This window comes from Homo sapiens, chromosome 6 (assembly GCF_000001405.40).
Source record: "Homo sapiens chromosome 6, GRCh38.p14 Primary Assembly".
Classification (NCBI taxonomy): domain Eukaryota; kingdom Metazoa; phylum Chordata; class Mammalia; order Primates; family Hominidae; genus Homo; species Homo sapiens.
This window is the reverse complement of record NC_000006.12, coordinates 126,058,656-126,081,297: the sequence shown is the minus strand read 5'-3', so window position 1 is coordinate 126,081,297 and position 22,642 is coordinate 126,058,656. Positions and strand designations below refer to the sequence as shown.

The 22,642-nt window shown below is 39.8% G+C and overlaps 1 protein-coding gene across 43 annotated transcripts in view, besides 1 other annotated feature; it reads right to left on the bottom strand.

The window, feature by feature from the left end:
* The window catches only part of TRMT11 (tRNA methyltransferase 11), a 285,804-nt gene that overhangs the window by 191,046 nt on the left and 72,116 nt on the right, over positions 1-22,642 (bottom strand). For 3 of the 43 annotated variants that reach the window (XR_007059323.1, XR_007059300.1, XR_007059315.1), the window contains 2 exons: positions 4,788-21,679; positions 1,570-4,060 (listed from right to left, as the gene is read on the bottom strand). The exons of 26 other annotated variants lie outside the window; for them this stretch is intronic. The gene's annotated coding sequence lies outside the window, so the exon portion shown is untranslated. Of the gene's footprint in view, positions 1-1,569; positions 4,061-4,787; positions 21,680-22,642 lie in introns of those variants that run through there. 14 more of the 43 variants (NR_146797.2, XR_007059308.1, NR_146799.2 and 11 more) reach the window with 10 other exon arrangements.
* Positions 5,681-5,975: an enhancer, noted in NCBI's record as "tiled region #12057; K562 Activating DNase matched - State 5:Enh, and HepG2 Activating non-DNase unmatched - State 16:ElonW". NCBI's record gives its function as "activates a minimal TATA promoter and a strong SV40 promoter by Sharpr-MPRA in K562 cells, with weak activation in HepG2 cells {active_cell/tissue: HepG2 | K562}" and the evidence as "EXISTENCE:reporter gene assay evidence [ECO:0000049][PMID:27701403]".

Sequence of the window (22,642 nt, the reverse complement as noted above, 5' to 3'; positions counted from 1 at the left end):
GCAGACTGTTTCCAGTGGCCTTTGCATATTGGTATGGAAGAAAAGGCATTTTTCAGGTCACTAGCTACACACCAAGTGCCAAGGGCTGTGTTTATTTACTCCAGTAAAGATACCATTTTTTGGATAGCAGTTGAAATTAGAATTACCTCCCGATTAAATTTATGGTTCACAGTCATTCTCCAAGATCCATTCAATGTCTGTAGAGACCAAACAGGTAAGTAAAATGGGTATGTGGTAGGTATCACCCAGTACATTTCAAGTCTTTGGCAGTGGCACAAGTCTCTGCAATTCATCCCAGGGATGCAATATCACTTCTGGTTTACTATCTTTGTAGTAATGGGAAGTTCCAGAGGCTTCCACTTTATCCTTCTTACCATAATGGCTCTAAACCTAGGGGTCATAGAGCCAATGTGGAGATTCTGATAGTTGCCAAGTATGTCTATTCCCATTATACATTCAGGAACTGGGGCAATAACTACAGGGGGGTCAACTGACCAACTGGGCCCACTGTGAGTTAAACTTGGGCTCAGACATCATCTGTATCTTGAACACTGAATGCTCCCGTTTTAACTAGTGGGCTACCGTGAGTAGTTTAGGTCACAGGAGTTAACATAATTAAGAGAGAGTATTTAGTAATTACTGAAATATCTGGGCATTTCCTTTTCCACAGTGCACAGTCACTCTAACAAATAGCTACAGGCCTCTTTGAGAAAACACGTGGATGAAGATTTATAGTATTTACTCGCAGCAATGATGCAGAATCCTTCCTCAAGGAGACCTGGACTCCCCTTCAATCAAGGGGCTCTAAATCTGTGAATTAGCTTAGGTCAGTATACTTGGTGAGTGACCCTGACTCTCCATTATGGAAACTTAAGTCAGATTTTTGGCTGTAAGAACTAGAGTTTTTCAGGCTGTGAGTGGTGGTTTATGCCTGTTGATTCCCAGCACTTTGAGAGGCCAGAAGTTTGAAACCAGCCTGGGCAACACAGTGAGACCCTTTCTCTACCAAAAAACATTAAGACAAAAAAAAAATAAAGCAAAATAACTGAATGCCTGTAGTTCTAGCTATTCAGGAGGCTGAGTGGGGAGGACCACTTGAGCCCTGGAGTTTGAGGTTGCAGTGAGCTATGATCACGCCACTGCACTCCAGCCTGGGTAACAAAGTGAGACCCTGTCTCTAAAAAAACAACAACAACAACAACAACAAAACAGAACTAGAGTTGGTTTTCTTTTTCCTGTTATGTAGATAAAAAAATACACTAGCAGACTGCTCACCTATTTCATTTTTAGAATCACCCTGGTAGTTAGCCACCACCAAAGATCTAACGCTTTCTGATCACTAGTATGTCTGCTGCTCTTTATAGTGAATGTGCATACCTTGTGTTTGGTGGATCAGTGCTGCTACTTGGCCTTTTACTACTCCAGGAATCCACCATCCCTATTGAAATCAGAATCCTCATATCAATGGCACATCCTCCATGGTCATAGTTAGCTTACCACGGAGCTTTGCAAGGATGCTGGTGATCCCTTCACCAACGCATAGTTCAAAATCTTTTTTTTTTCTTTCCATTTTCAACTTTTATTTTAGGTTTGGAGGTACATGTGCAGGTTTGTTACTTGGGTAGATTGCATGTCATTGGGGTCTGGAGTACAAATGATTCCTTCACCCAGGTCGTGAGCACAGTACTCAATAGGTAGTTTTTCAGCCCTTGCCTTCCTCCTAAGGTACTACTAAACTAAAACAAAATAACAAGAAATAAAATTTTTAAAAATCGAAGTCTTAGTGAAGAAGATATCTTGTGGGCTTTCTAGAGGAATGTAGTCGGGAATGAGTGTGCAGTTAGCATGATACAGCCACTTCAACATTCCTATTTGTCTGTCTTCAGATTCCCTCCTCCTCCTCATGCCTTGGAAGCTGTGGCATCTCAACCTCATTAAATACGGGCAGTAGTGTGCTCATGCCAGCTCACTCCAGCTCACAAGAGCATGGTGTTAAATTTGCAGAAGTTTCATGAGCCAATTGTTGAATACAGCCATTATTTTTAAATTAAACATATAAACTTATAACTTCAGTAAAAAAATAAATCCCCTACCGTAGAAAAATAAATAAATAAATTAGGAGCTTAGCTATCTTGTCCTGGGATTTTCATGTTTAAAATGATTCTCTCTGGAGACACTGTAACATAGGCCTACCTCCTGAAGGCTTAGGGTTATGATTTATTTTACCTTTATGGTCCAGGGACTCACCAGCTGAGAATTTAACAAGCAACTACATCTTTCTAAGTCCATAGTTTACTCATCTAAAAGACATAAATACTATTTCCCCCCGAAAGGGTTATCATGAGAATTGAATGTGACAATGTATTTTAAAAGTTGCACAATGCAGAACACGCAGAAAATTCTTAATAAATATTCGCTGTTACTATTATCCTATGAGAGAAAAACATGACTCGTTACCATGAGTTCTTCCTACAAAAGTGTGACGTGGCCATCATACACTGTCCAGAGTGCCAGGACAAGAGCACTCAAACTTCAAAATCTCCCAGGGTCACTTTTTGCCCCATGACTTTTCTGAAGCAGCTGTGGTCGCTCAAGTTGACGGAAGTTTTATACCTTCGGCTCCTCTGATGGGGCTACGTGCATGCTCACGGCACTGGCCAAGTGTGTCCTCAAAGCAGCTTGACTCTCTAACCTTGAGTAAACTCAGCAATCCAGGGCCCATGACAAATGCGCAGTAAGGACGACGTTACAACAGAGGCGTTGCTTGATTTATTGTGTCTTATGAAATAGAAACCTCTTCACATCATGGGAATTAGTGATGGAATTTTAAAAAGAATAACAAAATGAAATCAGGAACGGAAGAAAAAAAATGCCTGAGTCCAACTCAAAAAAAAAAAAACCTTTCTAATAAAAAATGCAAACCAGATGCAGTTAGAGATGACTGATAATTAAGGATGATAAATGACTAATGTTTTCTATTGAATTACCAAGTGCACAGCATTGTTCCTACATGAGGGAATGATTTACATATGGCTGCTGGGCTATCTTTTCGCCTAAATTTGATTTCACAGGCAATTTTCCCATTCTCAAAGTGCCCTCTCTCTCCCAGAGTCTTGCATTTCCCTCAGGAAAGTGACTCTTAGCTTTCAGAGGTCTCTTTTATAAGAATGGATGGGCTAGATTGTGAGTAAATATTCTCTCCAATGAGCATAAAATTTATGCAATGAAGCCACAGTAAGTAGAATACAAACCCTGTTTCCTCAGTGGGGTGATGCATTAGCACAGAGCTACCCATATTCCCAAACCCCAGTCTGTCTTGAAACTAAGGATGTGTCTTGTTCAGCAGGGGGATAGGTACACAGTCTATGATTAAGCATTTCTTTAAAGCCCAGAAGGATCTCTGACTCTCACCATATTTATGATTGCAGCCTCTTTTCTGAGAGTTCTAGTCTGTGCCACACAACTTAGTATTAATAATATACTGATTTTTACTAGTAACAATTGCTTAATCTATACTAACATTATCTCACCAAACTAGGTTGTGAAAAAGGTAGAGACTTGATATGCTGCCTGCATTCACTTAATGTAGCACGAAGAATATCCTCAACAAATACTCAATGATTGGTTGACAACAGATGTTGTTCTAACATGATCACTAGGATTATAAATTGTCTGGGCGTGGTGGCTCATGCCTGCAGTCCCAGTTCTTTGGGAGGCTGAGGCAGGCAGATTACTTGAGGTAATCTGTGTTCCAGATAGAGGTTTCCAGTAAATGTTGACAGAATTAGATGAAAGAAATTACACAAGAAAGGAACGTGATCTCTTGGAGCCTCTTATCTCCTTTGTGTGTCCACGTGCCTTGTTTGATTTTCTAGTCACACTCTTTCAAAGCCCAGTTGTTGCACATCTGGAACAGGGCAGGTTGGATGCTGTAGTGATGACAAAGTTAAAGGAAAGTCACTCTTCAGTTCAGCATCAGACAGCCAAATTGCTCTGTTAGTTTTACATGTAAAAATTGGCCCCAGCTGCTCCAACTTCTTTTGGCTCCTGATTTAGAACACTAAATAAAGACAAATAATTAATCAGCCCATTGGAAAGAAAGTAAACAAATGTCATGTGATTTAGGGACTGAGGTTGCAATAGTTTGGGTCACCAGAAAGTTATTGCATATCTTCTTTCAGACTTTTCTTGTGAAGTGTTGGGTTAAATAGGGTAACTGAGCCAAATCCCCTGAAACACTCCACAGAGTTTGGATCTGGCTGTGGGATCTATGTCTTTATGCTGCCATGGCCAGAGAAAACATTACTCAGATTGACTTTTGATATTTGCAAAACCTTCTATTGACTAATAGTCTGGTTTTTGTGGAGATGATCAGAATAGAGGGGAGTCTCTCCCTTAATATTCTACAAGCTTTTTTTCTATTTGATTCCTCACAGGTGGAAATGATTAGCTGCCAAAATTAAATCCATTTTAATTCAGGTAGTAATTAGCTGACTGCTAATTAAAAAAACTCTTCAATGGTTGAACTAGGGTTAGGAGAGACACACACAGGACATTAGACATTTTTTATTTATATGGTAACTGTACCATAAAAGCAACAATTCTACCATGTAAAGGTAGAGGCTATAATCAGTACTTTTTTAGGCAATGGGTAGTTATTCGAGTTTAGAGACAAAGGAGTGAAAGGATGGTGTTTTGAAGTTTTGTGGAGTGAAAACCACTAGCTCATCTTTTTTATTTGCAAGTTGCAGAAATCCAACTCAACCTAGTTCAAAGTAAAGGAATACCTGGCTGGCATAATTGAGGAAGTCAAGATAGGAACTGGCAGTGCTTGATCCAAAGGTTCTATCTATCAATGCCATCCAAATTATCTCTTTTCTCTTGGCTCAATGGTCTCTTGATTTGGCTTCATTTTCCAAAGGACACATTCACTGATGGCATTATATGGGCACAATTATTGTCACATAGGCAGATATGGCCCCGCCCTTCTGTCCTACAATGATCTCTGGTTGGTCAGGTATAGGGCACATGCCCAGCCCAGGGAACAGTCAAGCCAGACTATAAGAGCTGTAATTGGAAGACAGACAGTTCTCATAAGGAAATGTGGGTTCTGCTACTAGAAAAGATAGAAGACATCACTATGCATATCCTTGTATCCTGTTTCTCCCTACCTCCCACCCCCAACCCCCCACAACCTACTAACCTTAATAGCACACTAAGTAGAAAAAGGGGATGCATACAATTCTAGTTGACAAAAATATAGTGGCAGAAGCAGTTAATGTTCACTAACCATATGCATACTCATAAAATACATTTCCCAGCCTCCCCTGCAGTTCCTTGGGGCCCTGTGATTAGATCTGGCCAAATATGCTGAACCACAGTGACACATGTCACTTCTGGGCTAAGGCAGTTAAAAGGCCATGTGCCTTTTCCACCTTCCCTCTCCTTTGCAACCATGACCTTGGAGAATCTATGGTCCAGATGGATGGACAAACTGGACCCACATGAGCAAAAAATAAACTTTATTTGAGTGGGAAACTTGGGGATTTGTCTGTTGCAGCAGCTAGAGGTAATTACCTTCACTACAATATTACCATTTCTCAGCAGCCTGTATCAGTCCATTCTCACATTACTATAAAGATCTACCTGAGACTGCATAATTTATAAAGAAAAGAGGTTTAATTGGCTCATGGTTCCACAGGCTGTACAGGAAGCATGACTGGGGAGGCCTCAGGAAACTTACAATCATGGAGGAAGGCAAAGGGGAAGCAGGCAAGCACCACGTGGCTGGAGCAGGGGGAAGAGAGATAAGTGGGGGAGGGAGGCTGCTACACACTTTTAAACAATCGGATCTCATGAGAACTCACTATCACGAGAATAGCAAGGGGGAAATCCGTCCCCATGATCCAATCACCTCCCACCAGGCCCCTCCTCCAACACTTGGGATTACAATTCAACATGAGATTGGGGTGGGGACACAAATCCAAGCCATTTCACAGCCCCTGCAGAGCAATAAGAACTAGCAGTTAAATAAAACCTTATTTATGGATCTCACATAGTTATTTCAATGTAAAGACTTCTTTACATTGACACTTTCCTTTAATAAGAGAGTGAAAAGCAGTTGTTTCAAGGTATCCTGCATGTGTCTTCCTGATTAATTTGCAGACAATATGTGTTTTTCTTACACAGAGCACTTAATTGGCATTTAGAACACAATAGCAGAAACTCGACACCCTGAAAAGGATGTTCAGCTTATGTTAAAATGATTTTTTGAGGTCTTATGAGAACTTTTCTAAAATGTATTATCAACTATTATTTTTAAAAAATTAATAAAAATTGTGCAGACGGAAGACAATCATGAAAATCAATTATTTTTATATACTTCAATAAATTAAAAAATGAACTGAATGAATACTGACTTTTAGATTTTTTTCTGACAGCTAGTCTTGAAAATAATTGTTTAATTATTTGTTCTTTTTATTTCCTTTTTTTCCCTAAAGTCTGATGCAGGCAGGATCCAGTTCACTGAGGATTCTGGTGAATTAAGTAAGTTACTATTTACATAGGTTTCATTGAAATAAAAAATTGAGACTTTGTCATTTTGGATGCACATTCTGTCTGATTGAGGAAAATAACACATAAAAAAATTCTTAAGAAAAAAAGCGTGACAAAGATATTTTACACTAAGAATGTAGAAAAACAGACATTGCCCATGGCCTAACTAGCAAAAATAATAAAAAGCTAACTCCTAGGCCCTAGTGTCTTTTCTCTCCATTTGAATGGCCTTCTTGGTAATTTTTCTTAGCTCTAGGTGGTATTTAAAATATTTGAGCTTAGATATTTCCACACCTACCCCAAGAAGTCTACCTTGATGAGAAAAGTCTAGATATAACTTATTTATTCAACAAATATCATGCTCCTGTCAGAAGAAACAAAACCTGTGCCCTGTGCTTAAGAAAGCTTCAGTCCAATGCTATCCAGCGGTTATGGGTAATAAGAAGTGCTTTGAGAGCATTAAACACAGAGACACATACAGGAGTTGGAGAAGGCATCCCTGAGGGAAACAATACCTCGGCATTGTCCTCCGTGTTTCATATTGTTCACTATTAAATTATTTGTTAAGGAGAAATACTGATATTCCTAATATTAATATCCAAAAGAATCTCCTGGAGTGATATGGTTTGGCTACGCCCCCACTCAGATCTCATCTGGAACTGTAGTTTCCATAATCCCCACGTGTCATGGGAGGGACCTGGTGGGAGGTCATTTAATCTTGGAGGCAGTTACCCTCATGCTGTTCTCATGACAGTGAGTTCTCACGAGATTTGATGGTTTTATAAGGGGCTTTACCCCCTTTGCTGGGCGCTTCTCCTTGCTGCTGCCATGTGAAGAAGGAGGTGTTGCTTCCCCTTCTGCCATGACTGTAAGTTTTTGAGGCCTCCCCAGCCATGCTGAACTGTGAGTCAACTAAACATATTTCCTTTATAAATTACCCAGTCTTGGGTATGTCTTTATTCGCAGCGTGAGAACAGACTAATAAACAGAGTCCTCCCTAAGACACTGAAAAATAATATAACATACTTTTAAGAATCACAAAAGTATCTTGGCTTAGTATATAACTAGTCAACTTTTTGATATCCACTGACTGTAATAGAGGACTAAAAAAAAAACTAGGAACAATTTTATATTCATGTCACATGAATTGTTTGATTACTAGGTAAGTAACTATTCCAAAGTGGTCTCATGTTGTGACTGTGATTTAAATATCCGTTTGAGAATGGATAACAAGAGTGGGTCACACATAATTTCCCATTAACGGACTCCATTAAGTTAAAAAAAAAAGTAATTTTCCCTGACACTTAAAAATTAAAAATGGAATTATCAATATGTATTTGGCGTGCTGCATTCAATGATTTAGACTGTATTTTCCAAGAGAAAAGAGTTCAATAGTCTCTCTCTTTTTGGTAGTCTCTCATTGTAGTAGTCATAAGGAGAGCAGAGACTGTAGGAGTGCACTCATTCTCCTGGGCTCAGAGTGGACAATGCTCCATCTGTAGTGGTACTCAACTTGGGCCCACAGTGTATCTGCTATAATATAAAGCTGCATTTCCAATTGCATTTGACACCCGGCCATTGATAACTACAGGGAAAATGCCTTTCACAGAGGCATAGTGCTAGAAAGTTGCTCCTAGAAATCTTGGTCAGGGGATCACTAAAATTCAAGTAGGATCTTCCATAATCTGAATCCCAAAGATTGCATCATTTCATGTAACTTTTGTGAAGATTAAAGAAGACAAATATTTGTTTTCCAACTCTGTTGAAATCCTAAGACACACTGCTATGGACCGAATGTTTGTGTCCCCCAACCAAAATCCATATGTTGAAGTCTGAATTCCAACTGTGATGGTTTTGAAGGTGAGGGTCTTTGGGAGGTAATTAGATCATGAGGGTGGAACATTCATGAATGGAATTAGTGTCCTTATAAGAAGAAACATAAGAGAGAGGATCTCTGCTCTCTGCCATGTGAGGATACAATAAGACACATCTGCAAGCCAGGAAGAAGGTTGTCACCATAAACCAGATCTGCTGGCACCTAGATCTTGGACTTTCCAGCCTCCAGAACTGTGAGAAATAAATTTGTGTTATTTAAGCTACCCAGTATGTGATATTGTTATAGCAGCCTGAACTGAACTAAGATACACATATAAAATGTAATTGTTCTGATTATTTTTATATACTCAATATATGCTATTTTACAGACGAGCTCTTGGTATCAAGTTTAAGTTGTAATTTTCAACTCAGTAAGCATTTTTTGAACACCTACCATACTCAAGACATTCTGTTAGGTGCCGTGGAATCCACAAAGATAAGAACACAAGCATGGGATTTGCAGAAATAACACCGATTTCCTTTCATAATACAAGTGTTGAAAGAAAATATCAAACCACAATATGCTGTGCTCAATGTTGGGGCTTTTACATTCATATGAGGATCAGACTCAGAAGCATGTGTTCTATGACCTTATGCTAAAGGGCAGCATTAGTTCAACTTCAGAGCTCCCTAGAAATAGAAAATGCCCACCAATTTTTCAGGAAAAGCAAATCCTACTCAAACTGGAAGGAACAGTGAGTAAATATTTTTGTCAGCTGGGATCCTAGTAGATGCTGTTAACTATATCACAGTGGCTCTCAGTGGTTTCTAAACCTGCTCTGAACTAGGTGCAAGTGATTCAAGGAGACAGAGCCATGAAGTGCTCAGTCACACAGCTAGTTAGCACTGAGCTCAGATTGAAGTCAGACCCTCAAAATTTGGTGGCAGCAGCATCAGCATCATCTGAGAAGTTGTCAGAAATGCAAATCTCTGGCTCCATCCAAGACCTACTAACTCTGATACTCTGAGCTGGGGCATAGCTATCTGTGTTGTAAAGAACTCTCGAGATGATTCTGATCCATGTTAAAGTTTGAGTATCATTGATATACCATGACATGGAGGAGATTTTAGCTGAGATTTATTTTCTGAAACTGTTCTGACACTACAATTCAACACTAAAGGACAATTGTAGTGTGACTTCTAATCCCACATTCTTCTTCCCGATTCTTGGAAGAGTTCACTTTAGCTCCTGAGAGAAAAAAAAAAAAAAAAGCAAAGCAAACCCATTTACTCTCTCGCTGATCATCGTGCCAGCTTATATTCTTAGAACCAGGCCTGCACTGAATTATCTAAAAAGATCTCAAAGATCTTTAATATTCCACCAACACATGGGAAAATAAATCACTGACAATGTGTCAATGCCTTTTGTTTTTGTTTTTGCTTTGCTTTTCTCTGATTGAGTTACTGAAAACAATTTATAGCTTTTATAATCCCAAGCTCTGTGGACTTACAGGAGATCTACTAAAAATGTCATAAACTCAAAGCAATTTGGTAAACAAAAAAAAAAAATAAAAAGAATTCAAGCCAGGACATGAATGCCAATGGCCCAAGTGGTTTATGATTAAAACACGATGTCGACTTTTTCATGATTTTTACAGCTAATTAGAAAGATTTATCAGCATCCAAAAGAAGCACCCCCACCCCCCCAAGGAAACAGGGCTGCATACAGTGATTAATGATAACCAGTTTTCACTGAGAGTGGAAAACTACTGCATCCAAAGGCTCACGTGTGGGAGGAGAAGAACTGTTACTTCTGAAGGAAAGAACTGATCAGAGTTGAGGGCGTAAGAAGGCCATACATGACACTCACTTGCTCCCTTCTTCCACATGTTCTTCATGACCAGCTCAGGTCCCACCAACTCCGAAAAGCCTTCCTCACTGACCTTTTCTTTCATTCTCCTACAATCAAAATCACTGTGGCCTGCCAGGCACAGCGAATGGCGTAGTGGCTGGGAGTCAGACCAGTCTGACTCTTCACTTGGTAAGTGTGTGCTGTTAGGCAAGCTCTTAATCTCTCTAAACCTCAGTTTCCCCATCTGTAAAAATATGGTGAATACTACTACTGACATCACAGAATTGTTATTTTCAGAATTAAATGAGATGACATATTTAAGTTGCTTGGCACATTGTTTCAGTAAATGCTGAATACATGGTGCTATTATATTGTCATTATTGCTCACATTTGGTTTATGTAGGATGGTGTCATTAACTAGATGTACATTTCTGGAGAATAAGCAGTAGGTCTGTGACTTTTTGATATGAAAGAAAGGCAGAAGAAAAGAGAGGGAAGGAGAGAAAACCACTCAAAACCCTCCCACTAACGGGATGATTCCTGGAATTCTGCCTATGGAGTTTTATTTCTTCATTTCAGGTTTCTGATCTCATGAGTCCATCTGATTTTGCAAATATTTCTCCCTTAGGATGAATGTAAAATCTGAGAGTCATTTTTATTCAAGTTTGGAGAAAGAGAAATGTGTGAGAGTACCAGGTATATGGGAGGGGGCAAAATGAAAGACAAGAAGAGAAGAGGGTGTCTGTGCTGCAAAGTCAAGTCTAGCACACTGCCGAAGTTCTCTGAACTCTCACCACTCACAGCAAACTGGAAACCACTATAGGAACCAACTCGTCTCTTGATCCTGATATGGGAGTCCCAGAAAGAAAGCCAAAAAGTGAAAATTCCTTGGTTCTCTGATGGGAAGCACACCTCAAGCACTGTCTCCAGATACTTATCTCTTTCCTGCATTTAGTTTCTAACCAGAGAAATCAGAAAAGGAAAGGTAGCCCATGGCTACTATTTAATGTGTCATTTGTATGTTTGGTTTTATTTTGATTCATGTCATTCTGCTTTCACAGGACCCTCTAACTGCTCCAAACCCTCCCCGGGAGACCAGTTGGAAAGTAGCCATATCTTAACTCTTCTATGTGACTCTTCAAAAGTAAGGGTGATTTTAAAGGACATTTCTGCTGACAGATTCTCATTTGTTTCAATAAACCTAAAAAAAAAAAAAAAAACCTTCATCTACAGAAACCAAAGGTATCACTACTGTCAACCTCTCACATCATATCCACAGTTACTGTCTTGAAAAACAAAAGGAAAAGTGTTCCTTCAAAGTCTCCAATAACCAGAGAAGATGATGTCTCTGAAGGCTGGCAAGTCCCGGATGACATGGTCTGAAAACAGAGACACTCTGCTGGCGGCAGCAACTGGAGAGGGGCCAACACGAAGCTGTTAACAAAGGGGAGTTAGGATAACACGCAGCTTCGCAGCTTGATGACTGTTTCCAAGTGCATGGCTCGGACAAGGGTCTGACAGCAAAACCAGGCATAATTCAGTGTTGGAGTTTTGTTGTTTTGTTTGAGAAGTTGACTTCATTAAAAAATAATAATATAAAGAAAAAGAAAGAAAAAAAAGAAAAGAAAACGAGATAGAAACCAGAGACACCAAAATGATTATTGCTTTGGGGATATTTTCAGAATTTGCCCAGAAACAGTAAAGATAATGCAGGGCACAGTCAATAGACATTTGTTCTGGTGGTGTTCACAGCTTTGTCTCCTTGGCATCATGGACAACATGGCAGAGCCAAAAGAATTTCCTTTCCCTGATCACAAACTCCAAAGCCATTGGTCTACTGCTGTTGTAGCATGTGGCCCAACATTTATGGCCTGGTTCAGCTGTGTGCTTAGTCAAGCACAGCCTTACAGGTGGTTAAGGCAAAGCCAAGGAATGGAAGGAGGTCAGTTATTTACTGAGCATCTTCTGTGACTTGGTATTGTTTGGGGCTTCATTCCTTCAGTCATCATGGAACCAAAATGATTGGATTTCCTCAGCTTCAAGGTGTATACCCTGGTACCCTAAATTATAAAGAGCAGATGGCTTTCAAGCCTGGACAACTGCTGGCCCAAAGGCTAGTTCCTACAAAAACCAATGCCAGACTTCTGTTACAGCCATCATTTCTAGAGTGCACCTGAACTTGGTAGACCGGGCATATTGTCACTCACTAAGTAAGAAGAAATAATCTTTTTGGGATTCACTTAGTAAAAAACAGAAAGAAAAAAAGATGGATACAGAAAGTCAAAATTCAAACATATTTTGTGGGACTTGGTTTTAAAATTTACAGGAAAATGCAAAGAGTTAAGAATAGCCGATACGCTCTTGAATGAAAAGGAAAAATAAGAAAAGGTAGGATGACTTGCCTAGACAGATATAAAATATCAAATCACATCTAAAGTTACAATGATTAAAACAATGTGGTACTGGCACAAAGATGTACTATTGTATTGATGGAATAAGAAACAAAGCCTTAAAACAGACCCATGCATAAACTGATACTGAATTATGCCAAAGATGGCACTGCCAAGCAGTGGGACATAGATGATGTTGACATCCCTAACTCACACCACACATTAAAATTACCTCCAAATGAACCACAGATCTAAACAAACCTGAAAGGCAAAACAACAAACTTCCTAGAAGATAACATAGGAGATTATATGTAACTTCACGACCTGAGTCAAGAGAATACAGTATTTCTTAAACAAAACACAAAAAGGTTCTCACCATAAAGGAAAAATAATGTTTAACTGCCACAAAAATGAAAACTTCTGCTTATCAGACAGTATTATTAAATGAGTAAAAAGCTATAATACAAGTAGAAGAAAGGCTCATATGCAGAATATTTTTTAAAAACTCTTATGAAACAATAAAAAATGATGGACAATCCAATAGAAAAATGAGCCAAAGACTTTAAAAGACACATCACATAAGAAGAAATCCAAATGATCTATACACATGGGAAGAGGTTCTCATCATTAGGAGTCAGAAAAATAAAAATTATAAGCAGTAAGTGATGATTACACAATTCTGTGGATATGATAAAAACTAACATGCTAAAGAGTTGTACATTTTAAATGCGTGAATTGTATGGCATGGAAACAGTATCTTATTAAAGCTATTATTTTTAAAAAACACAAGCAAAAGTAGTGTACACCTACCTACTCAAATGAATAAAATTTAAAGATTGCGTCAGTTAGAATGTGGAGCAATTAAAACTCTTAACCACTCCTGATGGGAGTGTAAATTGGCACAACCACTTTGGAAAATAATTTGGCATAATTCATTAAAGTAGAAAATAGAGATACTTTATGTATGATCTAACAAGTAAATTCTGAGGTATCAACCCAACCAAATGCACATATATGTTCACCAGGAAACATGTAAAAGAATGTTTACAGCAATATTATTCATGAATGCCAAAAACTAGAAAAATGTAAATGTCCATCATCACTAGAATGGATACAAATCTTAAACTACAGTATAGTCACACAGTAAAATCCCACACAACAAAGAACATGAATAAACTTCAGCTAGAAGCAACAATATAAATGAATCTTCAAAACTGTTGAGCAAAATAAGCAGCTAAACTCTGTTTGAAGATGCCATCTTAAGTGGTAAAACTATATGGGTAAGCAATGAAGGATTATCTAAAAGTCAAGATATTGCTTACACTTAGAAGGCACAGAGGTGATTCTGAAGTAGCACTTTGGCAATACTGTATTCTATTTCTTGATCTAAGTGGTGATTACATGAGGTTAACTTTGTGACAATTTATTGAGCAATAGGCATATTTTATGCATTTTACTGGCAAAACAACTTTTTTTTTTTTTTTTTGAGAAGGAGTCTCACTCTGTCGCCCAGGCTGGAGTGCAATGGCACAGTCTCGGCAGCAATTCTCCTGCCTCAGCCTCCTGAATAGCTGTGATTACAGGCGCACACCACCATAACTGGCTAACTTTTGTATTTTTATTAGAGACAGGGTTTCACCATGTTGGTCAGGCTGGTCTCAAACTCCTGACCTCATGATCCGCCTGCCTCGGCTTGGCCTACAGAAGTGCTGGGATTACAGGCGTGAGCCACTGTGCCCGGCCCTTATTTTTTTTTTTTTTTTAAGTCATGAATGAAGTTGGTCAGTTGCCCAGCATTGCAGCCATTAAGCAATTCACCCTTGTTTTTCACTGTGGCTAAAATCCAGACACCAATGTCCTGGCTGGCTGGGTGGATGGCACCCCCCAAGCCTCATCACTGATAAGCCATGTGACTTGTCCACTGCCCTGCCCTCAGGACAAGTGTAACAATTCACCTAGGGCTTACAAGCATCTCTAGGCAAAGGAATGGAGTATCCTGACTACAGGGTTATAACTCAGTCCGTGTTACAGACTATATAATTGTGTCTCCCCAAAATTTATGTTAAAACCCCAACCCCCAGTGGGATGGTTTCAGAGGTGGGGCTTTTGAGAGTTAAATGAGGTCATGAGGGTGGGGCCCCCATGATAGGATTAGCGTCCCTGTGAGAAGAGAAACAGGTTAGAGCTCCCTCTCCCATCTTCCCTCTCGACATACATACATGCACCAAGAAAGGCCATATGAGGACATAACAAAGAGCGCCCTTCCCAAGAACTCAGCCATGCTGGCATCCTGATCTTGGACGTCCAGCTTCTAGAACGGTAAGGAATGGGTATTTGTTGTTGATGTCACTTGGTCCATAGTATTCTGTTATGGCAGCCCAAACTGAGTGACAGTCCATGTAAGGCCACACCCAAAGGGCCTGGACTTGTGATTCACTCACAGCCAGGCCCAGACAGGATGAGTTCTGACCCCACAGGATCCAGCCACACCCTGGCCTGGAGGCAGAGGTCAGCTTTGGTCCTGGCGCTCAAAGTGAGTTTCTTCTAGAGGGTTTCCTTGCTCCCCTACTTTCACAATCCAGCCTTGATCATTGCTCCCTCCAACCGTCAAACAAAGGAAAGGGTCTGAACCCTAGTGCCTTTCCCTAAGAAGCCTCTGCTCCCATGCAAATGTAAATAGCTATGCAGGCACCGAGGATATTCCCATCTTTGTCTAGCAGCATTTGAGCTCCGGTTTTCTATAGTCTGAGCATCTGTCTCAGCAACGGTCCTTTTATGATCATGATAAATTCACGATAGGTACTATTATTTTCATTGTACACGTGAAGGACAACTTCAGTCTACAGTCATACCACCCTCAACGCTCCCAATCTCGTCTGAAGGACAACATCAGAGAAACAAAGCAACTTGCCCAAGAGTATACAGCTAAAGAATAGTAATAATATAATTTCTGTTATTATCTATTGAGTACTTGCTATGTATCAGGCACTGTTTTAAATACTTTGCAAGTATTCATTTTATAATTCTTCCCACAATCCTAGGAGACAAGTACTTCTATTATTCCCATTTCACAATTAAGAAAACTGAGGCACAGAGAAACTGTCATTTTCTCAAGATCATAATAATTAATGAATGAAGGAGTCAAGAAATGAACCAAGGTTGCTTAACCACAAACTTTAGCCAGCAGTTCCCCAGAATTAAAGTGTAGGTTATAAGGTTTTGAAGTTTGAAATCTCCAGATGTACCAAAAGCAGGTCACTACCAGTGAGTGAAACACGAAGAGGGTATCCTACATGCTGCCTGAAGGCGTGGCTCTCTGTGGTTGCCTCTCAGCCTGCAGGACTCAGCTCCCACTCCAGCCCTGCCTCGTCATCGTGGCAGGAGTTCTCCAGCAGTGGACACGTGATAGAAGAACAAGATTATTTGACCAATTATCTTCTCTCCTTTACACTACTCTAGCTAACATATTCCCTTTTTAGTAGGTAGACTTGTTGAACTATATACCTAACAATAAAAGAAAAAGTTTCATATTCAGTTCTCTGGTTTTTTAGCTCTCATTTTCATAGGCAAATGGTTCACGTTTTGTGAGTGAGATATTATCCGGTGGCTCTATACACTTCTGCTGATAAGGACTCAGCTGTGAATGGAAATGCTCCTAGACTCAAAGCAGGATCACCAACGCTGCCTGGGGGATCAGCTCACACATCTAAAGTAAAAGCAGTTTCTGTTCTAGTATTAAGTAATTACAGCTAATTATACTTTTTAATGATCCTTGCTCCACACCAGAAGGTTCTAACTAAACAAACATAAAACAAGGCTGCTAAACAAATGATTAAGATGTGGAACATAAAACAAAAACCACCTCTGGGTGGAACAAATTATCACAGATTTTTAAAGTAAACATTGACCTTAGGATAAATCTGCAGCCTAAGAGCTGTCTCCTTCCTTTTCAATGAATCTGGGCCTAACTTACATGATTTTTTTTGGCCTACAGAAACCCTGTGTCTGACCTGGTATTTGCACTTTATGGTTTGGGCGTTTTTATCTTGCCATAAATTGTCATGGTTATTAAATACAGTTTCAAAATTGTCTCTAATCTTTCGTGGTGACTTTTTTTTTTATCTTGGAGGCAAATTAATTTTTTCCTGTGAGACTGTCTTTCCAGTTCAGAATGCAAGTCAGTCAGGAAATGTGATCTAATAGCTCCTGCCTCACTTACCCTTACACAGCCTCAATCCAGGAGCCCAAGGCTCTTGGCTACCCCAGCAGCTGTGTATTACATTTATTTGAATCCTGTTTTGAGAATAGAAGGTACTAATCCTTCTGGAGCTGTTTACAAGTGCTTAAAGGGGTCCACAGAGCTGTGGTTTAATCCAGGGTATCGGTCATCTCACAGGCAGATTTTCAGAGACACGTGGGCTGCCCTCAGACACATCAGAGGTCAAGGGTCCCAAATTGTTGCATGTGCGCTTTCTCCCTCCACCCCATGCCCACCTTTGCTCATGAGTCAGAACCAACACTCAGAGCTCACCCCCATCTTCTCCCTCCCTCCCCCAGTGCTCACGACCCACCATTCTCCTAACTTCTCCTCACCAAAGGTTGCCAACCTCTAGCTCCTTCTAATCCACTGACTGAAGGAACCCTGCAATGGCAGCTTCAGAAATGTAAGATGCCAAATCATATTGCAGGACACAGCAACATCAGTGACATGGCCTTGCTCCTCCTGTGGTCCTTCCTCGGCCCACTTCCCTGTTTTGATCCAACATCCCATGCCTCACTCTTGCTCCTAGATCTCCGACCCCAGTCCCACTCTGATGACACATTCAAGCTTCAGACCCAGAAGGCTCGGATCCTCCCAGATTTCTACCCTGGGCTGTAAAAGCTTTTGCTCACCGATTGTTTATTTTTCCATGGCTCAGAGTGATTTACAAAGTCATTAGGAATGACAACTTCTGTCTAGAGACCCTTGCCTCTCAAAGCATGGCCCATGAATCAGCAGCAGCTGGCTTCACCTCCAAGCATGATGGAAACAGAGAATCTCAGGCTTCACCTCAGACCCATCTGTAATTTCACAAGATCCCCAGGGGATTCGTCTGCACATTAACATTTGAGAAGCTCTGGTCTAGAAAGCAGAAATGTCTGTTGTAACACAAAGTTTAATTTATCCTTTTAGAAAAAAATCTCCAACTGTAAGATCTCTTCACAAAATCAAACAGAACTGTTACAGAAACGTTTTCTTAATTTAAGTTCCATTGAATTTGGTTAATTAAAAATAAAAGCTAGTAAGACTTTTCCCACATTCTTAGGGAAATTTAGTTTTTCTATACTACTCTGCATGGTACAACATGGTATAGTCTGGATATCTAAACTTTAACATATCTTCTCATATTAATTGATGCACAAAGCCCACTGAGTCCTTATTTTGAACCAAAAATAGCCTTTTCCTTTTTTCATGTTATAAAAGCAAAATGTATTTGATAATCATAAAATACATATCACTAGAATGAAATAAACAAGTCAATAAAATAAAATAAAGCAAAACTACTCAGAGATAACTATATGACATTGGAATACTTTCACTTATATGTAACATTATTATAAATAACGGATTATAAAATGTGATCACATGATATATACCCTTTATTATTTATCTATTATGAAACATGTCCAATAAATATTAATTTATGATATTGTTTAATGGCTGAAGAGTACTGATGATACAGGATATTAAATCAGCCAGTGTTTCACCAGAATCCATTGCCATCCTTTTCCAAAAGCATTTTGAAAATAGGATAGGAGCTATATGTTAGTTGTTCTTGAGGCTTGATTCAATTTATTTTTTATAAGGCAGTATTATTTATTCATTTAGCAAATTTACATCAGCTTCAGTCCTTTACATTCACTAATAAAAAATAAAGAAACACATTTACGGGAAAGATGTGTGAATTTTTATGCCACTCTATGAATAATAAAACTAAAAACCTGTCAAGTAATATCTTTTGACAGTCATTAAGTGGATTAGCCTGTATTAACATTGCTATTTTCCATATGATAGATTGATAAGTTATTCATTCATGTGTTCTATTTGATTTGGGGCCAATTTTCAACCCACTTGAATGTTCTAAGAGCACCTGAAGACCTAAGTCCTAGGTTTAAAAGCTAAAATAAAACCACACCAAAGTTAAGTTTGAAGTTGCCACGAAAGTAGGCTACCTATATTCTGATGATTATTAATCAATATTAGTCTTTTCACAGATATATACATATTACAATAAAGTACCTCAAGGCAAGGGAGAAAACCTGTAAATAAAATTGGAACAATAACAAAGTGTAAAGTTGTAGTGATTCAAAAGTGCCCTCCCTCTACGCCTTAAGAACAAAATTGGTATTTTTCCACAACATGAACTATATTTCGATTCCTTTGCTCAGCTACGATTCTTTGGTTTGAATCAACAGAAAGAGATCCTGGTTGCCTTAGGCAAATAAAAATGAAAAATATTGGCCAGGCATGGTGGCTCACACCTGTGATCGCAGCACTTTGGGCTGCCAAGGTGGACGGATCTCTTGAGGCCAGGAGTTAGAGACAAGCCTAACATAGTAAAACCTCATCTCTATCAAAAAAAATAGAAAATACAAAAATTAGCCAAGCGTGGCAGCGTGTACCTGTAGTCCCAGCTATTCAAGAGGCTGAGGTGGGATCCATTGAGCCAAGGAAGTGGAGGTTGCAGTGAGCTGTGATGGTGCCACTGCCCTCCAGCCTGGGTGAGAGAAGGAGATCCTGTCTCAAAACTGAAAAAGACTGGATATAGGCTAGCATAAAGGAAAAGCTGAAGAGCCAGGTCTTGGGCAGGATGGTGATCCAGAAGCTCTGGGATTGAGGCAGGAAATGGTCCTTTCAGCTAGCATGCTAGAGCAAATGAGCTTCATCAGAGGGTGTCCAGTTAACCTCACTTTGGAGGGGCCATCGGAGGAGAGAGGACTATATGAGACAGCTCCACCAGCCTGCTGGCTTCTGACGAGGAAGGTGCCATTACCAAATGAAGGAGAAATAGGCACCTGGGCAGATAACAGCAACAGTCAGTATTTTCTAATGTCAGATTGAACTGTTTACAGGTATTAATAGCTAAAAAAAAAAAAAAAAAAAATTGACTGATCCTTAATTCATTCTGAGAACTGTCATGCAAGTAGAAAGTAAGGAAGCCTGTGAATTTAAAACAGCAATTTACTGAGAGGCAAGACAAATGATTTCAGAGAAAGCAGGCCATTTTACTTTAAATAAACAAATAATTCACCTAAATAACAAAAGTTTAAGAACTATATTAATGACTTTAGCTATCTTTCTTCTCTGCCAGCAGACAATAGCTGTAGCATGTGTGGTATCTTGTTTTGAGTTGGGAACCATATTTCCCAGATTGTAACATCCACAGAAATCACCCGGGCATCTTGTTAAAATAAAGATTCTGCTTTGGTAGGTCTGATGTGGGGCCTGAGATCCTGCATTCCTAAAAAGCTCTGGGGCTTCAGATGTGCTGGTCCATAGCCAACACTTTGAATAGCCAAGTACAGGAGGACTGAGACTCTGCTCCCGTGGGGATCTGTGATTCTCCCCTTCTGTTATGCGGGCCCTCTTTTAGCCACTGTACTTCTCACCAGCACTTCCAGTTCCTAGAAACCACTTGCCTTTTGGCAACTCTTAGAAAGATTTGATGGGGAAGGAAGTTGAAACTGCCCACTCCAATAAGTTTTGTGTATTTCACTCATGCCAGTGATCCCATATCCCTGAGCACAGAAACTACATAAACAATGCATTTGTTCTCTGATCTAAAAGCAAACAACAAGTAGTCTATGTTGTGTTCTCAAAATGCTGCAAGACTCAGAAATCTAATATAGTGACTTACCCCTAGCCCTTCAAATGGGGCACTGTTCTGTCATCAGGGTTGGGGGATTCATTTCTCAATCAAAAGAAAAAAGAAGAAACTTTGAAACTCAGCTATTGTGTGCCTTCTGGACAGAGCCCAGGCCTTGTCCTCACCTCCAGCAGTGACTAGCCACATCCTGTGAGCAGGGCCAACCCAGACTCTCTGGGTGCTGTGACGCCCTTTGATCTGCGTTGTGTCACATACGCACTGAGTGATGGAGCCATTCGTGAATGGACTATTCTCTCTGGAGAGAGGGCAGAGTCAACAGGGCTCTTAGACTACACTCGGTCTGAGTTGCCTGAAGGAGAGGTGGGGGTACTGCAAGGCCCCTCTGGCCTTTCACTTCTCTGGTGGACAGCTTGAGCCAGAGAGCCCGTGATAAGATAAAATTTAAAAAGAAACAGCGGATGTCAGATTCTGAGGCGAAACATTATTTTTAGAGACTGTAATAGAGCAGCTATCACTTACGAGAAAACAATCCTCAATGTTGACATTTGAGTTCTTGACCTAAAATTCTGAATTGAAAAAGTCTAATAAAAATCCTGCAACCAGGTCCACCGCATGAAGAAAGGAAGAATAAAACAGAACCTGCTCATGAAGAGGAAAAGTCCCCGTGCTTTTCAGGTAAATTCATGGGGTTTATATACTCTTTCTCTGGTTCTTGATGGTTCTTGACAGTTCATGTTCACTAGAATGCTGGAGCATAGCAGACTAGTGACAACATCATGGTCTGCAGAAACAGTTCTTGCCCACGTTTCCATTGACCATGATTTTTATCCTTCTTTTCCTCCAGATAAATTTTCTGAGTATTTCCTCAGAGCTGTTTTTGGATGTGGTGACATGCAGTTCCATGCCAATGAATGCCTCAGGGTTTTGTGAAGGAGGATTTAATTTCATTCAACCAGACACTATGATTAGACATTGAGATGAATGGGCCAGGGTCTTTATCCTAGAGAAACGTACTTACTGTCTAGAGGAGATGAAAGCCAATTGCTATTGATAGTAGAGTAAAACGGTCAGAAGCACAGATCTCATCAGTCAGATATAGGTTCAAATCCCACCTCCATATTACTCACTATTAAACACCTCAAGTTGCTTAAGCTTTGTGAATTTCCATTTCTTCATCTACAAAATTGATATAATAATTCCTAGGACATAAAATGGTTATGAAGATTAAAGGTCACATAAAATGCACTTATCACAATGTCAGATACTTAGCATATACTAGTAATGATTAATATAAGTACTGCAGCTAAGTGAATCTCTCACTCCCAGCCTCTGCCTTCCATGAACTGCTTTTCTTGCTGGTCATGCTTTTGTTGTTTATAAAAGCTGCCACAGATACTCCTTTTAGCCAAATAATGCCCAGTCCAAAGTATATCAGGAGAGTAAGGAGGATCACCCTGAACAGTGTGATTTGGTCTTGGCATGCATCAACTCTGGGATCTTTCAGGGTCCAGAATCTTAGAGAGGATAGAAACTCAAAAATCTAGTAACTAACTCAGTTTATAGTAAAGCTGTTATTTGTTCCAACTCCTGGGCATTGACAGGGAGACTAAGTGTCCTAATAAAGAGTAGAGGTAGGCTGGGTGCAGTGGCTCATGCCTGTTAACCTAGCACTTTGGGAGGCCAAGGCGGAAAGATCACTTGAGGCCAGGATTCTGAGACCAGCCTGGGTAACATAGCAAGAACCTGTCTCTACAAAAAAAAAAAAAAAAAAAGATAAGTAGAGAGAGAGAAGAGGTGCAAGGAGCCAATTCATTCTTCGATTCAGTCTCCAGGGGAATACAAGAGAATAATCTCAAAACCCAAGGCAGGCTCCTAGGCCTCTCTGAGGTATAGAGGTACAGTAACAAAATCCAGCCAGCTCAGTCATCTCCGTGGGCCCTATCCTTTTGAAATACCACTGGGGATGTATATGTCCAGGAATTTATCCATTTCTTCAAGATTTTCCAGCTTATTTGCATAGAGATGCTTACAGTATTCTCAGATGGTAGTTTGTATTTCTGTGGGATCAGTTGAGATATCCTCTTTATCATTTTTTATTGTGTCTATTTGATTCTTCTCTCTTTTCTTCTTATTAGTCTGGCTAGCGGTCTATTTATTTTGTT